This window comes from Homo sapiens, chromosome 15, assembly GCF_000001405.40.
Source record: "Homo sapiens chromosome 15, GRCh38.p14 Primary Assembly".
Classification (NCBI taxonomy): Eukaryota; Metazoa; Chordata; class Mammalia; order Primates; family Hominidae; genus Homo; species Homo sapiens.
Genome location: NC_000015.10, coordinates 24,178,195 through 24,201,775, shown reverse-complemented (window position 1 = coordinate 24,201,775; position 23,581 = coordinate 24,178,195). Strand labels below are relative to the sequence as shown.

General features: G+C 36.7%; 2 long non-coding RNA genes across 1 annotated transcript in view; one reads left to right on the top strand and one right to left on the bottom strand.

The window, feature by feature from the left end:
* LOC105370733 (uncharacterized) overlaps nt 1-23,581 on the bottom strand; it is a 440,742-nt gene that overhangs the window by 340,646 nt on the left and 76,515 nt on the right.
* LOC105370732 (uncharacterized) overlaps nt 8,106-23,581 on the top strand; it is a 50,985-nt gene continuing 35,509 nt past the window's right edge. The window contains exons 1-2 of the long non-coding RNA XR_931993.3: nt 8,106-8,226; nt 13,787-14,020. This is a non-coding gene — a long non-coding RNA (uncharacterized LOC105370732). The remainder of the gene's footprint in view (nt 8,227-13,786; nt 14,021-23,581) is intronic.

The following is a 23,581-nucleotide window of genomic DNA, read 5'->3' as shown; positions in this document are numbered from 1 at the left end:
CTCCTCCACCACCCCTGCTGCTTATGAGTGTATGTCCTGGAGAGCTCTTCTCTTTCCATCTGCACTTCAAGGAATGCTGCCCTCTTCTTACTGGGATTGGTTAGTAATACATGACTCATGCCATTATACACATTTTGTTGAGTTGCCTCCTCTGTATTTCACTTTACAAACACACATGGACATCACTTTTCTCCCACTTAGCACTCTCCTAGAGAGTGGTTACCTTGGTAGAAATAAACTAGACACAGGTCAGACAGGAGCCACAGGGTGTCTTACAGTATAAACAAGTACTCTGTGAGAAGGATACCTGGATGTAAGCTGGACAGTTGGGCTTTAGGCCATCGACCAGGATAAGTAAGCATCCCATGAAAGGCACAGCCAGTACCAAACCCTGAGTCATATTGGGCAAGGCTATAGGTTATAGCCACCATCCAGAGGGGCCTTAACAGCAAACAGAAGTAAAAATAAAACACATGCTGTGAGATAATTTTAGAAACTATAGTTTCAGGAATCCTTGAGAGGGAAAGTAAAACTGGCAAGGCATTATTTGAAAGTTTGCACTGGGGTGGCAGCTCTCCAACGATAAAGAAAAATCTCAGGCCAGGAGCGGTGGCTCACACCTGTAATCCCAGCACTTTGGGAGGCCGAGGCGGGTGGATCACAAGCTCAGGAGATTGAGACCATCCTGGCTAACACGGTGAAACCCCGTCTCTACTAAAACCACAAAAAAATTAGCTGGGCATGGTGGCGGGCGCCTGTAGTCCCAGCTGCTGGGGAGGCTGAGGCAGGAGAATGGCGTGAACCTGGGAGGCAGAGCTTGCAGTGAGCTGAGATCACGCCACTGCACTCCAGCCTGGGTTACAAAGTGAGACGCTGTCTCAAAAAAAAAAAAAAAACTTTATCTAGAGGATTTCAGCCCTAATGATAGAGATACAAAGAATGATCTCTATAACTTATTTATTTATTTATTTATTTATTTATTTATTTATTTATTTATTTATTCATTCATTCAATGGCGTTTCACTACATTGCCCAGGCTGGAGTGCACTGGTTATTCACTGGCACAAGCACAGCACACTACACAGCCTCAAATTCCTGGTACCACATGTTCATCCTACCCACCCTCCCTAGCAGCTGGGACTGACTATAGGTGTGTGCCACCACACTTGCACAGATACAATTTTTATTTTATGTTTTTTTTTTGGCTTTTAAAGTCAAATTTATTACATTGTTTTGTACAGCAAAATTCACCCTTTTACATGAACTATTTTATTCATTTGGACAATGAATACAGGAATATAAACATCACTGCTGTCAAGATTCAAAAAATCTTACCATTGCCCCAGAAAGGTGCTTCATGCCCCTTAGATACAATTTTTAAATCAAGAAAGTTGCATTTCTTTTTCTTCTTTCCCATAGTCATCATAATCATGTGAAGAATGATCATACAAATCATTTTATGATTAGTTACTGCAGATGTAGATGCATTATAGTTTCCATACAATCTTTTATGCTGTCCACTTGTTACTTGGATCAACTTTATTTCTGGTTACTTGAGAGGAAGAATGGGCTTTAGTGTTCCCTGAAGAAGAGAGTAAAATAGAAACTCATCTGATTTATATTTTATAATATTATTGCATTTGTACCATGAGATTTAGGTTCCATGTAGGCTCAATTAAGTTAACAGGGAGACCTGATCTCAAATATATGAGCCATGTCTACACTTCTATTTATTTTGAAATAATTTTAGATTAACAGAGAGTTGTTAAAATCTTACATAAAGTTGTATATACCCTTCAATTTCCTGTTATATTAATATCACACACAGAACCACAGACTATCTATGAAAACTCAGAAACTGATAAAGGCACTAAACTATTAACCAAAGTACTGACTGTCTTTATATTTTACAAGGTTTTCCACTAATGCCATTTTTCCTTTTTTTGGATCTAATCAAGGATAACATATTATGTTTACATAAAGTGTATTATTGTTTATTGCAGCATAGCGAATAACTACATAGCTTAGTGGCTCAAAAGCACATACAAATTACTCACAGTTTCTCTGAGTCAGGAATCCAGATGTAGATGATGGCCAAGGCTGAGGTCTCACCTGAGGATCAGCTGGGGAGGAATCATCTTCTAAGTTCTCGTGATTGACCTGGTTGAGAAGACTTCACTGATGAATTATTCGAAACCTTTAAAATATCAACAGCAATTTCTTACTAACTGTTCTCCAAAAAATAAAATAATAGAGAAGAGATCAGTGTGCAATACATTCTATGAGGCAGTTTCCTCTGAGGCCACAACCAAACAGAGACAGTCCAAAAAAGTAAAACTATAAACTAATATGCTTTATGGATACCCAAGCAATAATTCTCGAGCAAACAGTCTGAACAAAGATCAGGATCGTAAAACATAATTAAACACTAACTTATTTATTTATTTATTTATCCAGGATCACAAGTTTGGTAAAACATATAAAAAGAATTAGTGTAATCACTATATTAATATAATAAATGACAAAATTTTCTTTATCACATCTAAAGATATGGAATAAACACTTTCCAATTCAAAAACCCACTCGCAGTAAAAACACCAAACAAATTTTGCATAAAGGGAATGTTCTTACTAACACAGGCACCTATGAAAAATTCATATGACAACACATGGTATCAAGTAGGTCTCAGTAATTTTCCCAAAATTATAAACACAAAAGGTTATCTATTCCACTAATTCAACTAAACATTATGCTTGAGGATGTAATTTATAAAATTAGGCTGGAAAAATAAATATAAGACTTCCAAATTGAAAGGGAAGAAGTCAAACATCTATTGGCCAGTGACATAATCTAATGTATAGAAAATCCTAAAAAATTCACTAAAATAAGGTTGGAACAAAAAAAAATTCAGTATGCATGATCAATGTAATAAATTGCATTCTTATACAATAGAAACTAATCAAATAATGAAACTCAGAAAATAATTTCATTTAACATGGCATCAAAAAGGAAATATATTTGAAAATAAACAATATAACTGCAAGATATATATACTGAAAATTACAAATAATATTGAAGTATTAAAGAAATCCTAAATAAATGAATAAAAGAATTAGTGTAATATACTATATGAACTACATTTTCATTGATTAGAAAGTTATTAAGTATTAACCAAGATGCTTATACTTTCTAAATGCATCTTCAGATTCAATACAAGCCCTACTAAAGTTCTAACTTTAATTTTTTCTCATTTTTAGCAGTTCTTGGACCACTGATCCTAAAATGCACAGAAAAACACAATTGATCCAGAACAGCCCAAGGAATGTTAAATATTTTTTACAGAAACACAAATGACATTTATAGAAGGTCCATCCATAGGGGAAAGAGGCATAATTCCCCACTTTTTATGTATGTGCTGTGCATAGTGATGTTTTTTCCAAAAGGTATAACATGAAAAGGGGAATAATATTAATTTTATAGTGGAGAAAACTGAGCTAAACTGCCTCATCCATGTGATCAAATAACATTAACCATGATAAAGCAGCTGGGCACAGTGGCTCACACCTGTAATCCCAGCACTTTGGGAGCCTGAGGTGAGAGGATCGCTTGGGGCCAGGACTTACAGACCAGCCTGAGCAATGTCGTGAGACTCTGCCTCTACAAAAGTACAAGTAAAATTAAATCACCCAGATGTGGTGGCACATGCCTGTAGTCCCATCTACTCAAGAGGATGAGGTGGAGGATCATTCAAGCCCAGGAGTTCGAGGCTGCAGCGAGCTTTGTTCATGCCACTGCACTCCGGCCTGAGCAACAGAGTGAGACCCTGTCTCAAAAAAAAAAAAAAAAAAAAAAAAGTGATACAGCATGTTGACACTATGTACTCTTGTTATAACATCATGAGAATAAAAGTTTCCCTCTGTAGGTTTCCTCTGCTAAATTCACAACAGCCATCCAATCATTAGGAAAACACCAGAGACATCCCAAAGGATTTCAATGATATCAGAAATAAGGAAAATCTGAGAAACTGGCACACGATACCTAAACGTGATGTGGTGTCCTGGGCGGAATCCTGGAACAGAATATGGACATTAGGTGAAAACAGAACATCTGATTAATTGTGAATGTTGCTGAATGATAATGTATAATACTGGTTCATCAATTGCGACAAATGTCTCAAATGAATGTAAGAATTTATGAAAGGGAAATTATGTGTTGAATATATATAAACTCTCTGTATGTACTTCTAACTATTCTGTAAATCCAAACTATTCTAACATAGATTTAAAAAATAAATAAAATATATATTTAAAAAAAATTACACTATTGAGCTTACTAAGCAGAACATTGTCGATCTCGTAGCGTCCCAGGTGCTCACCTCCCCATTCCCACCCTTTTTGTTACCCTGGCGAACATTATTATTATTTTTAATTTTCCTTTTCCCATTCGCAAACTTTTCTTTCTTAGTTTTGGTCTCTAAATTTGTATTTGTAAATAATGTCCTGTTTGCTGTTTCTTGTCTTCACAAATAGATAATTACATGTCTCTATCTATATTGCTCAGTAAAATTATGAGAAACATTCAGAGAAATCCAGATTTTGATACATTTTACAAACTATGTGACCTGTTTTCTCACAAAGTGAGGACTGAGAACCTGTCCCAGATTAAGCAAGACCTGACATTGGCAGGTGATCTCTAAGATGGTGCACGATGATCCTCAGAGCTTAATTAGAATATCTAATCTTTTTTCTTGTGACGTTGGGGAGAAACTGAGACTTGCTTTGATACATCAGAAGACTACAACCTGATAGGATGTCACTTGGGTAATCATGTTACCTAAGATTATGATACCTGTCTTGCTGCAAGCTCTCTGTCATGGTGGTTTTGATGACACATTCTGCCATGGGAGAGAAGCCAACATGGGAAATAACTGAATGCAGCCTCTGGCCACAGACAGCAAAAAACTGAGGCTCCTGGTCCAGTATCCTGCCCTAGAGGTGGCAATTTATATTTACAACTAATCTAAGCTCCTTTCATATAAAAGTATACTGCCTCAGAAGTAGTGTAACCATCTTATAAAATAATAGTTCTATTTCTTCCTTTTTCCTGTATTTTTCCTTTTGTCCCTCTTTTCGTACCTTTCATTTTACTTATATGTATATCTATACCCATATCTATATAGATCTTATACTTATGAAAATATAGTTAAATTAATTGCTGCTTTTTTTTTTTTTGAAACAGAGTCTTGCTCTGTCACCCAGGCTGGAGTGCAGTGGCGCGTTCTGAGCTCACTGTAACCTCTGCCTCCCGCATTCAAGCTATTCTCCTGCCTCAGCCTCCTGAGTAGCTAGGATTACAGACATGCGTCACAAACCCAGCTAATCTTTGTATTTTTTTTTTTTAGTAGAGATGGGGTTTCACCATGCTGGCGAGACTGGTCTCAAACTCCCGAACTCAGGTCATCCACCCACCTTGGCCTCCCAAACTGCTGTGATTACAGGCCTGAGCCACCGGGTTCGGCATTCCTACTATTTTTTTGAAAGGCACCTGTCTGCTATTGAATATAATTATTTTAAATAAGCTGTTATATGTAAGATCAATTAAGAATATGGAAATTAAAAGTTTTTATTATCTTGAGAAACCAATAAAAAAGTATTAAAAAGTCTGAGATGCTAAGAAAGAAGATTGAATTTTTTAAATGCTGAATAAAAACCACAAAAAAAGGAAAATGAATGGAAGACAAAAATGGAAACAGAGGCAGCGCAAAAACTAAAAGATAGTAACAAGCATGGTGGATATTCATCCAACTATATCAATCATCACTTTGAAAAAGTGTCAACACCTAATTCAGAACAATCATAATCAGAATACCAAGATACGTGTGAATTTATGAATTAATTTCAATATTGCTTTCATTTTTATATGAATAAAGTGTAAATTTAAAATTCTAGAAGGACTTTTTCAATAAGGGTAAATAAGTCTATTATGTGTATAAGGGTTGAGAGAGAGATATTATTCTTTCTTTGAGATTCTTCTTAAGTCTTTGATTCATTGACATACTGTGGATGTCCCCAACAAGACTACTACAGACATTACATATTTACCAATCTGAGCTTCCCTTTAGTGATATAAAGGCCAGCTCGCTTGTCTTTCTCTGTGAGTTTGGCGCACATTGTTCCTTACCCAGCTTCACATTGACAGGTACATCCATATAGGCGGTGGTATAGTAATGATCGAGTAATTGCAGGAAGAATGAAACAAAATGTTGTGGAAAAACTTATGGCAATTGGACATGGCTTATCACAGGTAAAAATGGATGATTTATCTGGAAGGATGGATTGCAAGAGAGTGCACATCAAACAATGAAGGACAGTGACATCTGAGAGACGTGAAACAATGAGGGCTACTGTTGCCTCAGGTTACTGCTTGGGGAGAGTTTCCAGGCTGTGGTGTGGCACGGACTCTGGAAGATACTTGGAGTTGAGAAGATGGAACTGACAGTCTGGACAAAGAGGTGGCTGAATTTCATAAAGCCATTCTCCATGGCTGCAGGAGGAGGGAGCATGCATGCCAACAGCCATGCAGGCTGGACTGTGGTGCCATCATTACTCCACTGAGACATGGTTCACAGGAGTACTGGAGCAGTACAGAAACAAAAAGCAAAGATACAAAGAAAAGTAATTTAAATGATTTCTTTAATAAAGAGTAATTCACCTTTATGCTTTCGCCTAATTTCTGACTACAAAAAGACAAAGTTTTCCATGACTCAGTGATCTTGCATCCAACCCAAGAATGAAGGAATACACACTGTTTAGAAACAAAGTAAATGGTGTGTTAGGTAGATTCAGTCACCCTGTGTGGACACCAACCTGCCTTTCCTATGTTATCCTGTTAGTTGTGGCTGGTAAAATCACTACATTACGAAATAATTAAAGTATAGTTTTCTACTTATAGGAGAACAATACATTTGTCACCAAAAGGAGAAGCCAATAAAGGTTTCTTCCTTCATTGATTTTCCTTAAAAAAATCTCCAGTTTCCTTTGCATCTTAAAAATATTTTTTCTCTGTTCTTCACCACATGAATGCCCCAGGCTATGCAGTTTGCATGAAGTATAGGGTTGCTCTTTAGACACAGTGAAATTAAGTTAAGTTGTAACCCAGTATACTATTTTCCTAAAAATTACCTTTGCATTTTTTCTTTTTCTCAGTGTTCACCTCTTGCTTAGCTCCTCAGAAATGCAAATGTAACCTTTTCCTTCCTTCGTTTCCACCAGTGAAACAACCTGCAAGTATTGCCAGCTTATCTAAGTATATGTTTCCTTAGAAATTCTAAGGACCAAATGTTGAACCAAAGCAGGCAACATCCAGAATTCTCCCTCACAGGGAGACTGTCTCAAGACAATAGTTAATCCACATTCCGACTCTTTCCTCAATGACACTGGTCAGACTAACAGATGACCCCTTAGCTAAGTTTTACAGCAAGTCACATAGACCCCGCACCTCCATGTTCCTTCTGCATACCCTGCACAAGAAAGTTTCTCTTCTTAAAACCCTGCTTTCTTCCCGGAAAACTGAAGCGGCTCCTTTAGATATGAACCTGGTTCTTCTCCATTGCTAAGCTGTGAAATAAAGTCACTTTCTTTTTACCACCCTCTTGCTTGTTATTTGATACGGTAAGTGACAAGTGGCCAAACCTGTGTTTGGTAACAAATTTGGTGGCCTGTATGGGGAGCATTATGTGCTCTGGGCAACCCAAGCCTGTGAGCCTGGTTTTGCTACCAAGGTGGAGGGTTGCCTGTGAGCACCAGCAGCTGAAGGCCAGCAGACCCCATGGCAGGAATGTTAGGGAACTTCCAAGCAGCTGCTGAAAATCTTTCATTTCCTAGACCCTCCCTTTCACTTCCTTGCACAACTTCTGCAGCCATCAACACTTTGCTGGTACAAAGAATGTGACCTCTGAAGAAGCTGGCAGCCCTTGCAACCAAGTGAGCTAGTAGAGTGCACCCGGCTTTCCTGTGTCTTCTGGGGTGTTGCTGGGGCTCTGCTGTTTCGTCTGGTCCACTAATGGGACTATCATCTGAGTGTTTTACGGATTTGTATTTGTGGCACTACTGGGCATGGCTCCATTTGGTCTCAGACACCCATGGAGCTGTTTTGAACAGAGGAGAGAAATTCAGGATTCTACTCAGCCCCTTAACTGGTGTTTGTTTGGAAGCTCACCATTTGTTTGTAAGTGTGAGTGTATAAGACCTTTGAGTGTGGGCCCTGATCTCTTCCTATCCTTTTCACTTCCAACTTCATCTTCTTGACTGTCTTGGAAGCCACCTACAGCCTTAATCATCTCAGTCAAAGGTACCCTTAGCTCTCTCCAGCTGTAAACAGTTTCCTTCCCCCATGATGGCAGAGGTGGGAGGGATTCATCTCACACTGTGCATGTCTAGGGTAGTGGGGCTCTCCCTGATGGGATGTAAGCAAGAGTGGTGGGGGTGCCAACCCTATACCATGCAGCGCTAGAAGGTTCACAAACCTCCTTTTCTTTCTTTTTCTTTCCTTCCTTTTAAAAGGCCTGGCAGGAACTTCATATTCTCATTCTCTTTGGGATTTCAGCTGGTTACTTATTAAGACCTACTTTTGTGAATATTTTAAACAGATAGGCAAATTCTAGCAAGAAAACTTTAGAGCTCAAATGGTTAACTGCAACTATTAAGTTAAGCAGAGTCATCAAAACCTCTCTTTCTTCCTCTGTTTTCTTTTCTGCCTGCTTCAAATTGGATGTTACTAAGCTGTTGGTGCTGTGATAAGACTCATTATTTATGGACTAACTAGAAAGTAAACATAGGAAACTTGTTTAAAACTGAAGGAAAGAAAGGAAAAAGATGCTTTTTTAAAAACAAAACTGCCATAAAGATTGCTTTACCCAAATTTTGGTTCACAGCTTTCATTGTATTATATATTGGAGAAAACAAAATTTAACCATGGAAACAGGTTTCAGTTTTGTCAGACAATAATGTGTATCCAGCTATTTTTATAAAATACTGAGTGTGTACTGTTATTTTATGGATAGAATCCCAAGGTAAAAGCTATTAGACCTTTGCTTGTGTGTATATACATATTTAGTTAGATATGTTTGTGTGTATGTATGTGTATTATGTGTTATGTCTAGCCTGTTACCAAATTGACTTACAAGTAAATAAGTGCTCATAAATTAAGTCAGGATGCTTTTCAAGTTCACATAAATTTAGTAATTCTTGACAAATAAAATTGGTTTTAAGATTATTCGTGACGTAATATTGGAAATATCTTCAAAATGATCAGCATATATTTTTATCTGAGTTTACTGAACAAATGATTTTGTATTTATCTCTGTCTATATCATCAGGTGTCAGGATATGACATAAAGGTTATAAGACCATAAACCCAGCCAAAAACAGAATCATTTTTGTTTGTGTGATTTTACAGATGAGTTAGACTAATTTAATATTACTAGTTCAGTGAAAACAGTTAAATCTTCTGTGCTATTGACAAAATGCCCATATATTGAACTTTAAGGTTCTTACTTAGGTAAAACACCTAATGTCCACAGACTTTAAAAATGGGTCATAGGGACATAAATAAATAATTACTACTTTGATGTAATATCCCAGTTTTCAAAAGTACTCTAGGTAAACTGGTAAAATGGAAAAGCTGAGTACACATAAATGAGATCAATGTTTCTAAGTGAAATTTTTGTATAATTTAAAATCTTAAAATCATTTTGGATGCTTACTAGATGTCTAGGTCATTTCCAATTAAGAAAGGGTTATTATATAGAGAAAACTGTTCTAAAAATTGTGAAATGGTTCTCATCTATACAATACTAATATCTGATAGTTCAGGATTTCTTTTTTCCTAGGTTTCTATCAAATGTGCCAAAGAAGAGGTGTCCTTATTGAGAAAAAGAATTATTTTGTCTAATTCCAAAGTTATATAAAAGTTTATTCAAATTACGGGTTTGAAAAGGTTATTTATGAAACAAGCTGGGAAGGAAGCAGTAAGTGGTGAACAGAGTTGTGAAGAAAGATACAGAAAGGAACATATACTTTTGGTAAGGAAGGTTATAAAGGAAAAAGAGTAATTTTCTATGAGAAAGAATCTTGTATGGGAAATTATTCTCCTAAAGTAAAATGACTGGTTATTTAAGCAACAGATTCTTATTACAAAGTTAATCTAGAAAAAGAAAATTGAAAAAAAATTAAAAAAGAAACAGGTACTACAGGACAAGTATACAGTCCAAGCATGTGACAGATGGTCTGTGTAAGTCATGATAAGGCTCATGAAGAGGAATTTATAAAAGAAATTTTGTATGCAATTAAGCTAGCCATAATTAAAAAGGAGAATAGTCTTTCTAAAGAATGGTCCCCTATGTTAAATCAAGATTTTCTTAAGGTATCAATTTACTCTTAATAAAATTACAATAAATTTTGATTTTCTATTCTATAATCTACTTCTTTTGAAAACTTCTGAGATTCATATCTCAAATGTTCAATTGTTGTCTTGTTGCTATCAGCTTTTTCTCCCTTTGATGTGGCCTGGGATGATAAATCTATCCTTCAGCTTCTTGTCAGCTCCTGTAACTTGTCTCCTTACTTCTAAATGTTGTTGTGGCTGATGCTGAAATATTTTATCTTAGAGGTCTATAAAAGAAAAGTTTTCCTCCAGGATAACCTGATTCTATACTCTTGGGGGTTTTTTTGTTGTTGTTATTTTGTGTCTAAATTTTCACTGTAATCAGGAAAATTATCATGCAGCTACTAAGAGTCATGTATTCCCCAGTTCTACTCATAACCTTGTACACACTCTTTCCATGTTTGATTAAATTCAAACACTTTTTATCTTAAATTGTACTTCCAGATTATCTAAATGGGCTTTCTTCTAAGGAGAGGCAGTCACACTAAAAAAGGTTTTCCTTTGACTTTTTGGTAACTGGCTTAAGAAACAAGATTTTACATTTTATCAAGATAGTTCCTATGCTGCCTTTATTAAGTGTTTAATTGCTTTTAAAAAAAAAACCCGAAATTTGAAAGGAGTAAGGTTTTTAGACCTGAGTAACTTTTTATATTGCCTTTAACGTCTTTCAATGATCACTTTGGTTAAATGAATAACTATTGTTTTACAAGGACCTGTGGTTTAGTTTTGATGAAATATTTTAAGCTTTCTAACATCTTTCACAGACATCTCCCAAATTGAATCCTAAATTAAGTCTCTGACTTATTGCTGGGGCTTATCAAAGCTAAAAAACATTAATCACTGTGAAGTGTATCACCACCTCCAACACCCTGAAGAAGTTCTTATCAGGTGCTATTAACTAATTTTTGTGGTGTTAAGGTACAAGGAATTGACTCCTGGATACATGTAGCTCCTCTAAAGGAGAAACAGACTTCTGCCAGCATCTAACATCAAACTCAACTTAACCAAAGCCTCATCTTTAGACTCAAGCAAAGGCAATAATCAAAGTACACTGCTTTCAAGCAACACAGGGACAGGCCTGTATTATACTTTATTTAATAATTTTGCCTCTATCTGAAATAGGAATATATGAAATATAATTTATTCTGTGCCTTAATCCTAAATTATTTAAATGTTTATCTACCTAACCTTTGACATGTACAGCAAACTAAGCCATAGAATAGAAAGTTTGACAGATCTTTTTAAACATAAGAAGATCTTTTTAATGTGGGACAATTTTGCCTTGTGGCTTATAGAATAGTTTCTGTCCTTCTTTTTAACCAGAGCTATTTAAGAGGAAATCTCTGGAAAATCATAAAACAGAATGTGTAACGTCTGTCGCTTCTAATAAAAGTGATATTAACGTTCAATTTATGAAAGAGAAATAGGAGTAAAGATGAAAATAATTGATACGGTTCACTGAAAAATAATTATGAATGCATATTTAAAATAGAGAAATAAAGGCCTTAAATCTATGATACAAAAATAAATATTTGGTTTTAGATGATGTTTATATGACCAACAAAAGAGAATATTTATACACAAGCATTTAAGACATTTGCACAACAAATTAAATCAAAATCAAGGAGAAATATCACGATGTAAAATCTAAAGTCTTAAGGTGTCATTGGTCAGCAAACAGAATCATTTTTGAACAAACTGAGCCTTTTTTAAAAGACTTGAATTCCCTACCTCACCCCACAACCAAGGCAGGGAGGTGCTGTCCTTGTGCATGCAGAGCCCCCAGAGAGGCTCTGAGCTCAGAGGCTCCCCTGTGAACCTGCCTCTGTTGGGCATGGTCTGGAGGGGGACCCTGTTCACAGGATCATCTACAGCAGGGCAGAAGGGAGCCAGGGTTGCCTCTCTAGGTTTTCAACAACCTTGGCTGTTGTCAAAGATACTAAATACATAAGGTGGGCAGTGGTGTTGGGAGACTGCCTAAGATTCACAAGGACGTAGAGATTTCAGAGTCAATGGCAACGTTCTAAAGTTGTATATCCACAGCCTCATTCAAGGTACAGCTGAAAGGATTGGTGTAAGTGCAAGGCATGCAGGTCTGAACTTCTTTCACCTCATTATAGAGCAGCTCAGTGGTTAAAAAGAACAGGCCCTGGGCCAGGCACAATGGATCACGCTTGCAATTCCTACACTTTGGGAGACTAAGGAGGGTGGATTGCTTAAGGCCAGGAGTTCTAGATCAGCCTGGGCAACAAAGAGAGACCTCCTCTCCACTAAAAAAGTTAAAAATTAGCCGGGCATGGTGGCTTGCACCTGTAGTGCCAGCTACTCAGGAGACTGCGTGGGGAGGATCACTTGAGTCCAGCAGCTCACACACAGAATGTGTTCTGTGTTTGTGCCACTGTACCCCAGTTGGTGTGACAGAACAAAATTATCTCTTAAAAAAGAAGAGAAAGAACAATCTCTAGAGAGAAAATTCTTGAATAGACTCTCTTAATAATAAGAGTGTGGTATTTGCACAGAGATAGAATAAACAGCCAATAACTTAAAAAACAGACGTATGCATATATAAGCATATATTTAAGTTGCTGAATGGGGGAAAATTGGATTTTTATTAAAATATTCCAGGGTATTGAATATCCACAGGGAGAAACTAAAATCTGACCTATGACCTGACATTACACACAAAATTAATTATAGTCAGTTCATAGACATAAATACAAAAATATGTAGTAGAGTATACAGAACACAATTCAGGAAAATAACTTCAAGACCATGAGGTAGGCTAAGCTGTCTGAAACTAGACCTGAAAAGCATTTAACATATAAGACAAAACATATTCTATGTAGTTGATGTCAGCAAAGACTCTAGGGCATATAGAATCAAACTCAAGGTTCTGTTAGGCCTCTCCTGTGGAGATTTAGCTCAGACTTAGAAATGGACCAGAGGAGCAGGAATAGTCCTTACTTTCTGAGATGGCAGGTGGATTGTATGAAATGGTAACATATAAACCATGCAGTATATTACTAAGCCTACACTAACCCCGAGAAATCAATATTCTAGTAAATTGTGAGATGTATCAATTGCATCAGTTGTAACATGTCATTATTTTCTGTATCAGAATGAAAGAACAAAACCACCAACAATGAAACTAATACTTTTATCATGTGGAAATACATTGTATAATAATAACATCATTATATTATAATTATTGGAAAAAAAGCTATTTTCAAGACATATATATGTGGATATTTCTCTTGTCTTTTGTCACTCCTATGATTACATGGGATGGAACACATAAGGAAAATACACCGACAAAGGTTTTCCTAAATTTTCTCCCATTCAGATCCAACTCTCCTAAATCAATCTTCAATTCATCTTGCTCATGGTGTTCCCCATGTTATCATCATTTGTGCTAATCTGAGGATTTGGTGATGCTGCATTTCCTGTGATATTCCTACGTTGCTCCTGCGAGTTTATATTTTCAACCTTCTGAAACCTCCCGTGCAAGATTTGATGCTGATGTTGATGACATCACCCAAAAACATTGACAGGAGGTTTGCAGACCAAGTTTATACAGGTAAATGAGGACAATCACATTATGACTGCCTTCTCGTCAATAGTGTTTTAACGCTTTCAAATTTAAGATGCATCTGTATTTGATAGATGTGAAAATGTGCACTCTACAATGAATGGAATACACTGTTTTCTCTGTGACTGCTCTTTTCTCAGTGTTAAATTATGGTGGCTCATTGGCTATATTCTTGTTTGTTATTGAGGAAATATGCTTAAATCTTATCACATAAATTTATAAACTGCATTTATATTCTACCTGGGAGCTTCACCGCTGTCCTCCATTAGGGAAGTCCAGTTTGTTCACTTCTCATTAAAGTGAGTGTCCAGAGAGGTGTTATAAACTGCATTTATAATTTTAGACACATTAGAGTTATTAGTGGAGTACTAGAATTCTTATGTCACGTATGGAAATATAGTTCTATGAACCATGGTTTAAGAAATCCATTGAAGACGGAGATGAAAATTGTAAAGAGCTACTTGAAAAATTCACTGGCGTGGTAGCTCTCTAAAGACCTGGAAAAAAGTATTTTGAAACTTTAAACTGTAATCTTAGAAATATGAGCAATCCTTCCTGTAAACTTCCTTACAGATTCCATTCTTTCGGATGTAACATTTGTGTATCTTTTTCTTCATTCACATTTGTCCTTTTAATCACATGGCTGGTGATCGTAGAAATCACCTCATGATTAGTCACTGCAGAAGTGAATGCATAATGGTCTTTATAAGATATTTTGATCTGGCCCCTTGCTACTCTGGTCAACTCTACTTTGGGTACTTGGATATTGGAATCGGTTTCGGTATCCCCTCATGAGTACACTGAGTGATAAAAAAACTCATACAGTCACAGTTAAGGAGGTTGACTGAAATTTCACCTAGAGTTTTAGACTCCAGGAAGGTTGAATTAAGTAAACACAAAGTCATGTCATTACATATATGAGACATTCCTTCCTTGAACTCAATCTTCTTATCAGGTTAGAGTGTGGAGACAGAGCATTGGGTTTGCCTCATGATGTGGTCTAAAAATGTAGTTTGTTTGCAATAGCATCTGTTGTAGACTTGTGTCCAGACCAGCCTCTATACAACAGTTGATTTAGGATACTGTGCAAAATCATATCTTCCATGCAGTGAAAGTTTGTCTAGGGACTCAGTGCTCAGCACTTTGTCATCTGTGCCTGTGACATCATGCTATTCAAGATTTATGGAAGTCAATGGGAGTTGACATACGTAGTTCCATATATGTAGTTCCATGGCTTTGTAGGCCTTTTAGGCATGGTTCCTGAAAACAACTCTGCTGCTACTAAGAAGGGTGCAATGGCCTCTTAATAGGAAGCTGTGTGGAGAATTAGTGGGCAGCCAGTACACATGCAGAAACAAACACAGCCTGTTTCTGTCTCTCAGATCACTGCATGGAGGGTTGGAGATATGCTGTATATTGTTTTCTTTTTTTGTTTGTTTTTCACCTAATGAGATTTCTCTTTTTGTGCACAACATGTATATATCACTCAGTAGCATTCACCTGCAAAAACCCTGTTGTAAAGATTTATTCCCAGGCCTCTGGAAGCAGGGACTGCCCTAAAGCAACTTATTAGAAATATTTTTTGTACTCTGTTTACCTGCTATCTTGATGGCTTTAGGGTTGGCCAAGGGCAATATAATTCCACCATGTGAGTATCAACAGAGTGCATGGTCCTGAACAGTTCCTGATGGAGCCTGTAGAATGAAGCAAAGTAAATTAGAACAGGTTTTCTGAAAGGTTTGAAAGTAAAGTTGTCTTTGGATTACTTGAAGAAGAAATCCCTGTACCAAGAAAACGTGATCCTGAATGCAGAAATATGATTTATGTTCCCTGACACTGAAATTTCTTATTCTTGCCTTATATCATCTGGAATTCATGTCTTCCGAAAAGGTTAGTGGGATCTTGAATATACTCTGCTAAATGCTGTCCTAAAATGGGGCTTTCTGGGATATGTGAAAAACAGGCATCTTCCTTTCAAGAAGTGGATGCTGACACTCTAATGACTAGGTAGTGGGGAAGGAGAAAGAGGATAAGAGTCCTTGGAGCTTGAAGGTACCTTCCTGAAGCAGTGGCTCCTGGGTTTCAAATGTTGCCTAGAAAAGAAAAGCTAGTTTACTGTTCTCTCCCTACATGCCCACTTGTATTTGGAGGCAAAAGTTTTTTGCTGATGTCTTTACTTGCTTACTTTTTAAAAAAAAACAAAATAATAATATTAAAAAAATATTTATTTTGAAATAACTGCAGATTTACATAAATGCACATAGGTAAGTACAGACAGTTTCATATACCATTCAGATAACTAGAATGTTAGTATCTATTATAACCATAGCATATTCATGAAAACTAAGAATTTAACTGTTTTTCAAGACTATTAACTGATCTACAAACTTCCTTCATATTTTACCAGGTTTTCTAATAATGATATACTTATCTATTCCAGGACCTAATCCAGAATACCACCTTACAATTACTGTCAGGTATATTACTTACTACTTGGTGCATAACAAATTACCACATACCTTAGTGGCTCAAAACCACACACATACTACTCACAGTTTCTCTGGGTCTTCGGTCTAGATGTAGGTGATGGCTCAGGCTGAGGCTCAGCTGGGGAAGGGTCTCCTTCCAAACTCACATGATTGTTCTTAGGATTCACCTCCCTGCCCTCATCAGGAACTCATTGATGTGTTATTAAAATCACATAAAATTAATACTAATTTATCAAAAATATTTCAAAACAATACAATAATAATAAAGAAGTAGAAAATAGATCACTTCCCATTGTATACTATGAATTAGTTTACCCTGATTGAACAACTACACAAAGACATTTCAAATAAGGAAAATGAAGACCAATATGCCTTATAAATACAGAGACAAAAATCACCAGCGAGATATTATCAAATGAAATCAGCAACATGTAGAAAGTATTATACACTATGGTAAAGGGTATTTACCTCAGGAATGCAAATTTGGTTCAATATAGGATACAACTAAAGTCATACACTATATTAATAAAGAATAAAAACTACACAATCATCTCAGAAGGTATGCAACAAGCACTTGAAAATTCCCAGATTCCATATTATAAAAACATGCAGCAAATTAGGCAGATAAGAGAACTTTCTGCATTTCAAAGGGCATCTATGAAAAGCTCACATATCATCATAAGTAATCTGAAAGGTTCACTAATTTCTCTGATATTAGAAACAAGTCAAATATTTCCACTGTTGACACTAGTTTGCAACATTGTACTGGAGAATGTAGACAGGGCAATTGGCTTAGAAAAATAAATATAATGTTTCTAATATGGAAAGGAAGTCAAACTCTGACTGTTTGCAAATGACATGATCGTATGTACAAAACGTCCAAAGAATTCTAATCAAATATGTTTAGAATTTAAAGACGAGTTCAAAGAAATTTGCAGTATATAAAATATATAAAATATTTTAAATTTCTCTATACTAGCAATTAACAATCTAAAAACAAAACTCAGAAAACCGTTCCAATTGAGATCGAATCAAAAATACTTAGGAATAAGCTTATCAAATTAAGTATAAGATATGTACACTAAAAACTATATAACACATATTGAACAAAATTAATAGAAAATCTTTGAATGCTCATTGTTTACAAGGGTTAATATTGTTAGGTTGGCAATATTTTCCAAATGGATCTATAGAATTAATGCAACTTCTCTCAAAACATTCCCCTAAATTCAGAAGGTTATCCTCAAATTTATATATAATATAGATCCTGAGCAGCCAAAATACTCTTGAGAAAGACAAAAAGGGTTTGCATAGTAGACATATGCTTCCTGATTTCAAAACTTACTACAAAGTAATAGTAATCAAGATTTGTGGTACTAGTGTAGGGATATATGTATTGATCAATGGAGTAGAATATAATACTCAAAAATGAATCCTTACATTTATGGTGAAATGCTTTTATATTGTGGCCAAATAAATTAGTTATGAAGCAATATTTTCTTGTCAAATGTTTCTGGGTCAAGTGGATATCCACATGCAAGTTAGATTCTTGCCTCATACCAGAAACATAATTGACTCAAAATGACAATCTATCTAAATATAAGAGCTAAACAGAGCCAACCCATAAAAAGAAACACAGGAATACATCTTTGTGGTCTTTGGTTAAACAATGTTTTAAGATATGACACTGAAAAACACAAAGGAAAGAAGAAAATATAGAAATATTAAACTTCATTAGAATTAAAACCTTTTGCAATTTAAAGTCCACCATCAAATATAAAGAGGCACCCAAAGAATGGCAGAAAATATGTGAAAATTGCAAATTTTATAGGTGATAATGGTCTATTATCCAGAATATGCAATGTCTTACAACTCAAAATTTAAAAGGCAAATATCCCAATCAAAAATGGCAAAATCTTAAATAGCCAATTCTCAAAAGAAAGCCATAGTCATATCCAAAATCACATGAAAATATGCTCAATGTCTTTTGTCATTATGAGGTAGGAGACTGGAAGGATTTGTTTTCTGGTTTCACAACCTTGATGACCAAAATAAGATCTGCTCCAGACAGGATAAAGTGAAAAAACTGGCAGAAGCCTGTACGTTGCGGTAAATGTGATCCCTGGCAGTCTTCATTTGTCACTCACATAAGACACTCCTACCAACCACATAAGTGTTTACAAATTCCATGGCCACAACTCAGAAGTTACTGCCCTTTCCATGGAGACAACCTAGAAGTCACTGCCCCTGTCCTGCCTCAATTTGCCTTGACTTGCCCCTCAATTTGCATATAATTAAAAGTGGGTTTGATTGCATATAAATACAGTTGCCAAGAGGCCTATATGTTGCCAACTCTGAACACACTGCTTAAGAGTTAGCCCTGCTCTGCTAGGAGCAGTACCATTCAATAAAATATTGCAGTCTAACATCACCCACTAGCCCTTAAATTCTTTCTTGGACAAAGCTAATAACCCTCTCAGGATAAGCCAAAATTCTGTGACTCACCTGTCCTACAAAAATTGGGTGAAGGCAAATCTAAAAACCATGAGGTGTACTTCAAAAATCTAAAAAGCATATTGCTAAAAAATATAAGTTGGAAAAGGTAAAATACTGTGAAAAGGCAAACTTGTTACCTACTAAATAAGCTTTTAAATTTGCATAATTTAGCTACACTCTTTGTGTTACAAAGTTCTTCAGGATTTGGAAAACATTATGATGTATCCACCATTACAGTATCAAAGAGGAATTTCACTGCCCCAAAGAAATCTTCGGTAGTTCACTGATGTCACCTATATCTCTCCCAAGCCCCTTGTTACCACTGAACTCTTTACTATCACTACACTTTTTCCTTTTCTAGAGAGTCATATAAATGGAATTACACAGTATTTTGACTGTTTCAACTTCTATTTTTCTACATAGCCATATACCTTGTTCAGGTAGCATGATTAAATTAACAACATCAACTTGCTTGCAGGGAGTGCTAGATCACATACAAATGAGAATGAGTGGATCCATTTATATGGTCCTGGATTAGGTCATATGGTGTTGGAAACATTAGCAGAAAGTATAAAATTACCAAATTACCCTGAAGCAGAATTAAATTCACAGACTGGAGCATATAATAGTGACTGAACAAAAGAAAATGCCAAACAACAACAAAACCAACCAACCACACAACATCAAACTTTAATTATGCAGGTATTTCAAAGTGATAGAAGGGACAACTTAAAAACCTTCCAATAGCCAACACTGGAACAATTTGTGCAATTAAAAAAAAAATAGCAGCCGAGCATGGTGGCTCATGCCTGTAATCCCAGCACTTTGGGAGGCCGAGGAGGGTGGATCATCTGAGGTATGGAGTTTGAGACCAACCTGGCCAACATGGTGAAACTCAGTCTCTACTAAAAATACAAAACTTAGCCAGGTGTAGTGTCTCATGCCTGTAATCCCAGCCACTCAGGAGATTGAGGCACGAGAATCGCTTGAACCCAGGGGGCAGAGGTTGCAATGAGCTGAGATCGCACCATTGCACTCCAGCCTTGGCAACACAGAAAGGCTCTGTCTCAAAAAAAAAAATAGCACATATGCATTGTAAAATAAATCTCCATATTTAGATAATGATATAAATAAAAGATGCATGTTTAAGTGAATAAATTAATACACATGAAATAATTGGAAGAGAATAGGCACATGTTTACGGTGAAGGTTTAAAGGAATTTGTAGACATTCTGCCAATAATGACTGTCTACCCTTGTTGACAGTTTTTACTCTTGGTATGATATGATGAGAATGGCACTTTTTGGCCAGGCACAGTGGCTCACGCCTGTAATCCCAGACCAGCCTGGACACCACATTAAGACCCCATCTCTATAACAAAATAAATATCACTTGAGCCCATGAGTTTGACCCCGGCCTGGGCAACATGGTGAAACCTTGCCTCTACCAAAAAAAATAACAAACAACAACAACAATAAATTAGTCCAGCCTGGTGGCACATACCTGTAGTCTCAGCTACCCTGGAGGTTGAGAGGGAAGGATCCTTAAGCTCAGAAGATGGAGGCTGTAGTGAGCCAAGCTCATGACACTGCACTCCAGGCTAGGCGAGAGAGTGAGACACTGTCTCAAAATTAAATAAATAAATAAAAATGACACTTTTCCTCGTGATCTTCCTCCCCTAAACCCACAAATCCAGTCTTATCATTAGAGAAACATCAGACAAATCCCACATTAGTAATATTAATGGCATCAAAAATAAGGAAACTCTGAGAAACTGTGACAGTCAGAGAATTCTAAGGAGACATGACATGTACCTGTGATGAGGTATCCTGGATGAAATCCTGGAATAGAAACAGGACATTAAGTCAAAACTAAAAAAAAATGAATAAAGTATGAAGAGTAGTTATAGTGTTATAAAACTGATTGCTTGTGACAAATGTCCTACATTAATGTAAGAATTTCATAAAAATGGAAACTTCGTAGGATATGTGGAAATTCTATGTACTACAACTGTTCTGTAAACCTAAAACTATTCTTAAATTTATAAGGTTTCTTTATCTTTAAAGTCACTGTTGACCTTATAAAACAACATGAGCAATATGTTTGATGGCCCATAGTGCATCTCCTGAGCTTCACCATCTTCCTTAATCACTGAAAATAGCTATTACTGTGAATTATTTGTTATCCTCTAATTTGTGTTTATTACATTTACCTCTATGTTTATATTTCTAATATCTATAATGTTTATTTTTCTTGTCTTCAAACACACATGCATGGTTTTAATGTATTTATGTCCCAGTTTAATCATGAGAAATCATGAGACAAATTCATATTGTGGGAAAACCTACATAATATCTGACCTGTGTTTTCAAAAAAGTCAAGTTCACAAAAAATAAGTGAAGACTGAGAAATCTGCAGATTAGAGAATACTTGATGTGTCAGGTAGACCCTACGATGGTGCCCAGTGAACCTCACCTGTAAGAAATACACCGCTTACATTATCTCATGTGCTCTGTTGAGTGGCCTCCTCTGTGTCTCACATGACCAACACACCTGAACTTAACATTTTTCCAATTCAGAGTTTTCCTAGAAAGTGGTTGTCTTGATATGAATGTAGTGGTCACAGTTCTGCAAAGTGCCATAAGGGCATCTGACAGTATTTAAAAGTTTACAGTAATCCAACCCCAATGCCCATCAATCAATGAGTGGATAAGGAAACTGCGGTATATATATATATATAATGGACTACTATTCAACCATAAAAAGGAATGAGTTAATGGCTTTTGCAGCAACCTGGATGAGATTAGAGATTATTATTCTAAGTGAAGTAACTCAGGAATAGAACACCAAACATCGTAGGATCTCACTCATAAGTGGGAACTAAGTTATGATGCAAAGGCCTAAGAATGATACAATGGACTCTGGGAACTCAGGAGAAAAGGGTGGGAAGGGGGTGAGGGATCAAAAACTACAAATAGGGTGCAGTGTATATTGCTCGGGTGATGGGTGCACCAAAATCTCACAAATCACCACTAAAGAACTTACTCATGTAACCCAAACCACCTGTTCCCGAATAACGTATGGAAATTAAAAAAAATTACAGTAAGAAGGATGCCTGGTAAAGGACTGGACAATTAGGCATTGTGTCATCTGCAAGGATAAATAAGTATCCTATGAAAGGTGCACTGTCAACATCCAGGACCAATTTCCTGGAGTCCTGTTGGACATCGTTATAATTTGAAGCCATTGTCCCAAGAGAGACCTCAAGAGAATATCAGATACTACAAAAATACAACATAGATGTATAGGTAATTTTACAAATCATGGCTCGAAGATCCCATGGAGAAGGAAGATAGAAATGGTAAAGTGTTACTTGAAAGTTTACAGAGTTGCAGAGTGCAGCTCTCTCAAGACAGAAATACTCATCTTGAGACTGTTTGCCTTAATCTCAGAAATATAGGCAGAGACTATTCGAAGTTGCTTTCCAAATCCAGTTCTTCATTTCGATCAACTACCTATCTTTTTCTCCTCTCCTTTTATTCTTCCTATGTCATAAACGATGGTCATGTGAATCTCACTGTAAGCAGTCGCTGCTGACGCAGGCACGTTACAGTCATCATGAAATGCTTTGCTCTGACCATTTGTCACTCTTGTCAACTCCACTTGTTGATACTTGGAAAATCAAACAGGCCTTGGTGTTCCCTGAAGACTGCACTGCATGAAGAAGAAACTCATATAATTTATAATTTAGAATGTTGAGCATATTTGCACTGAGAGTTTCAGCTTCTATGAGGGCTCAGTTCAGTGAACAGAAAGCCCTAATTTCAAATATAGGAGTCATGCACCTTTTAAGCTTTATTCTCCATTCAGGGTAGAGGGTGGAGAGGGGTTGGGTTCAGGCCTCATGATGTGGTCAGACAATGAGATGTTTTCAATAGCATCTTTCTGAGAATTCTGGTGGCCAATCCAGCCTCAGTACAACGTGGTCACAGGTGGTTTACTGTCTTGTGAGAAATCATAACTTCCATGCTATGGTGGTAGAGTTTCGGAGCTCGGTGCTCAGCACTGTGTTTGTTCTCTGTGCCAGGGACATCACGGTAGCACAGTTTTGTGTCTATCACATTTCCTATCTTAACCCTGGGCACTCAGAACTCATTGACCCTCTTGCTACCTAGAGATGAGTCTCTCCTTAGACAAATCTACTTCCATCTCCTTCATGGCCTGCCACTTGGTGATTTTGTTTTTCCTGAACAGTTTGGTCATGAATGATCTTCACAGTACACATCATAACAGACCATATGTATGCATAGAAATGAAGAGAAAAATGGGATTTGACAAGTCACTTACCTTATAGAAACTCCTCTTATAATGAAATGAAAAGAGCAAACTTCCATTTACTAAGATTGTCCTTTTTTTTTTTTTTTTGAGACACAGTATTGCTCTGTCCCCCAGGCTGCAGGGCAGTGGCATGATCTCGGCTCACTGCAAGCTCCGCCTCCTGGGTTCACACCGTTCTCCTGCCTCAGCCTCCCGAGTAGCTGGGACTACAGGCACCCGCCACCAT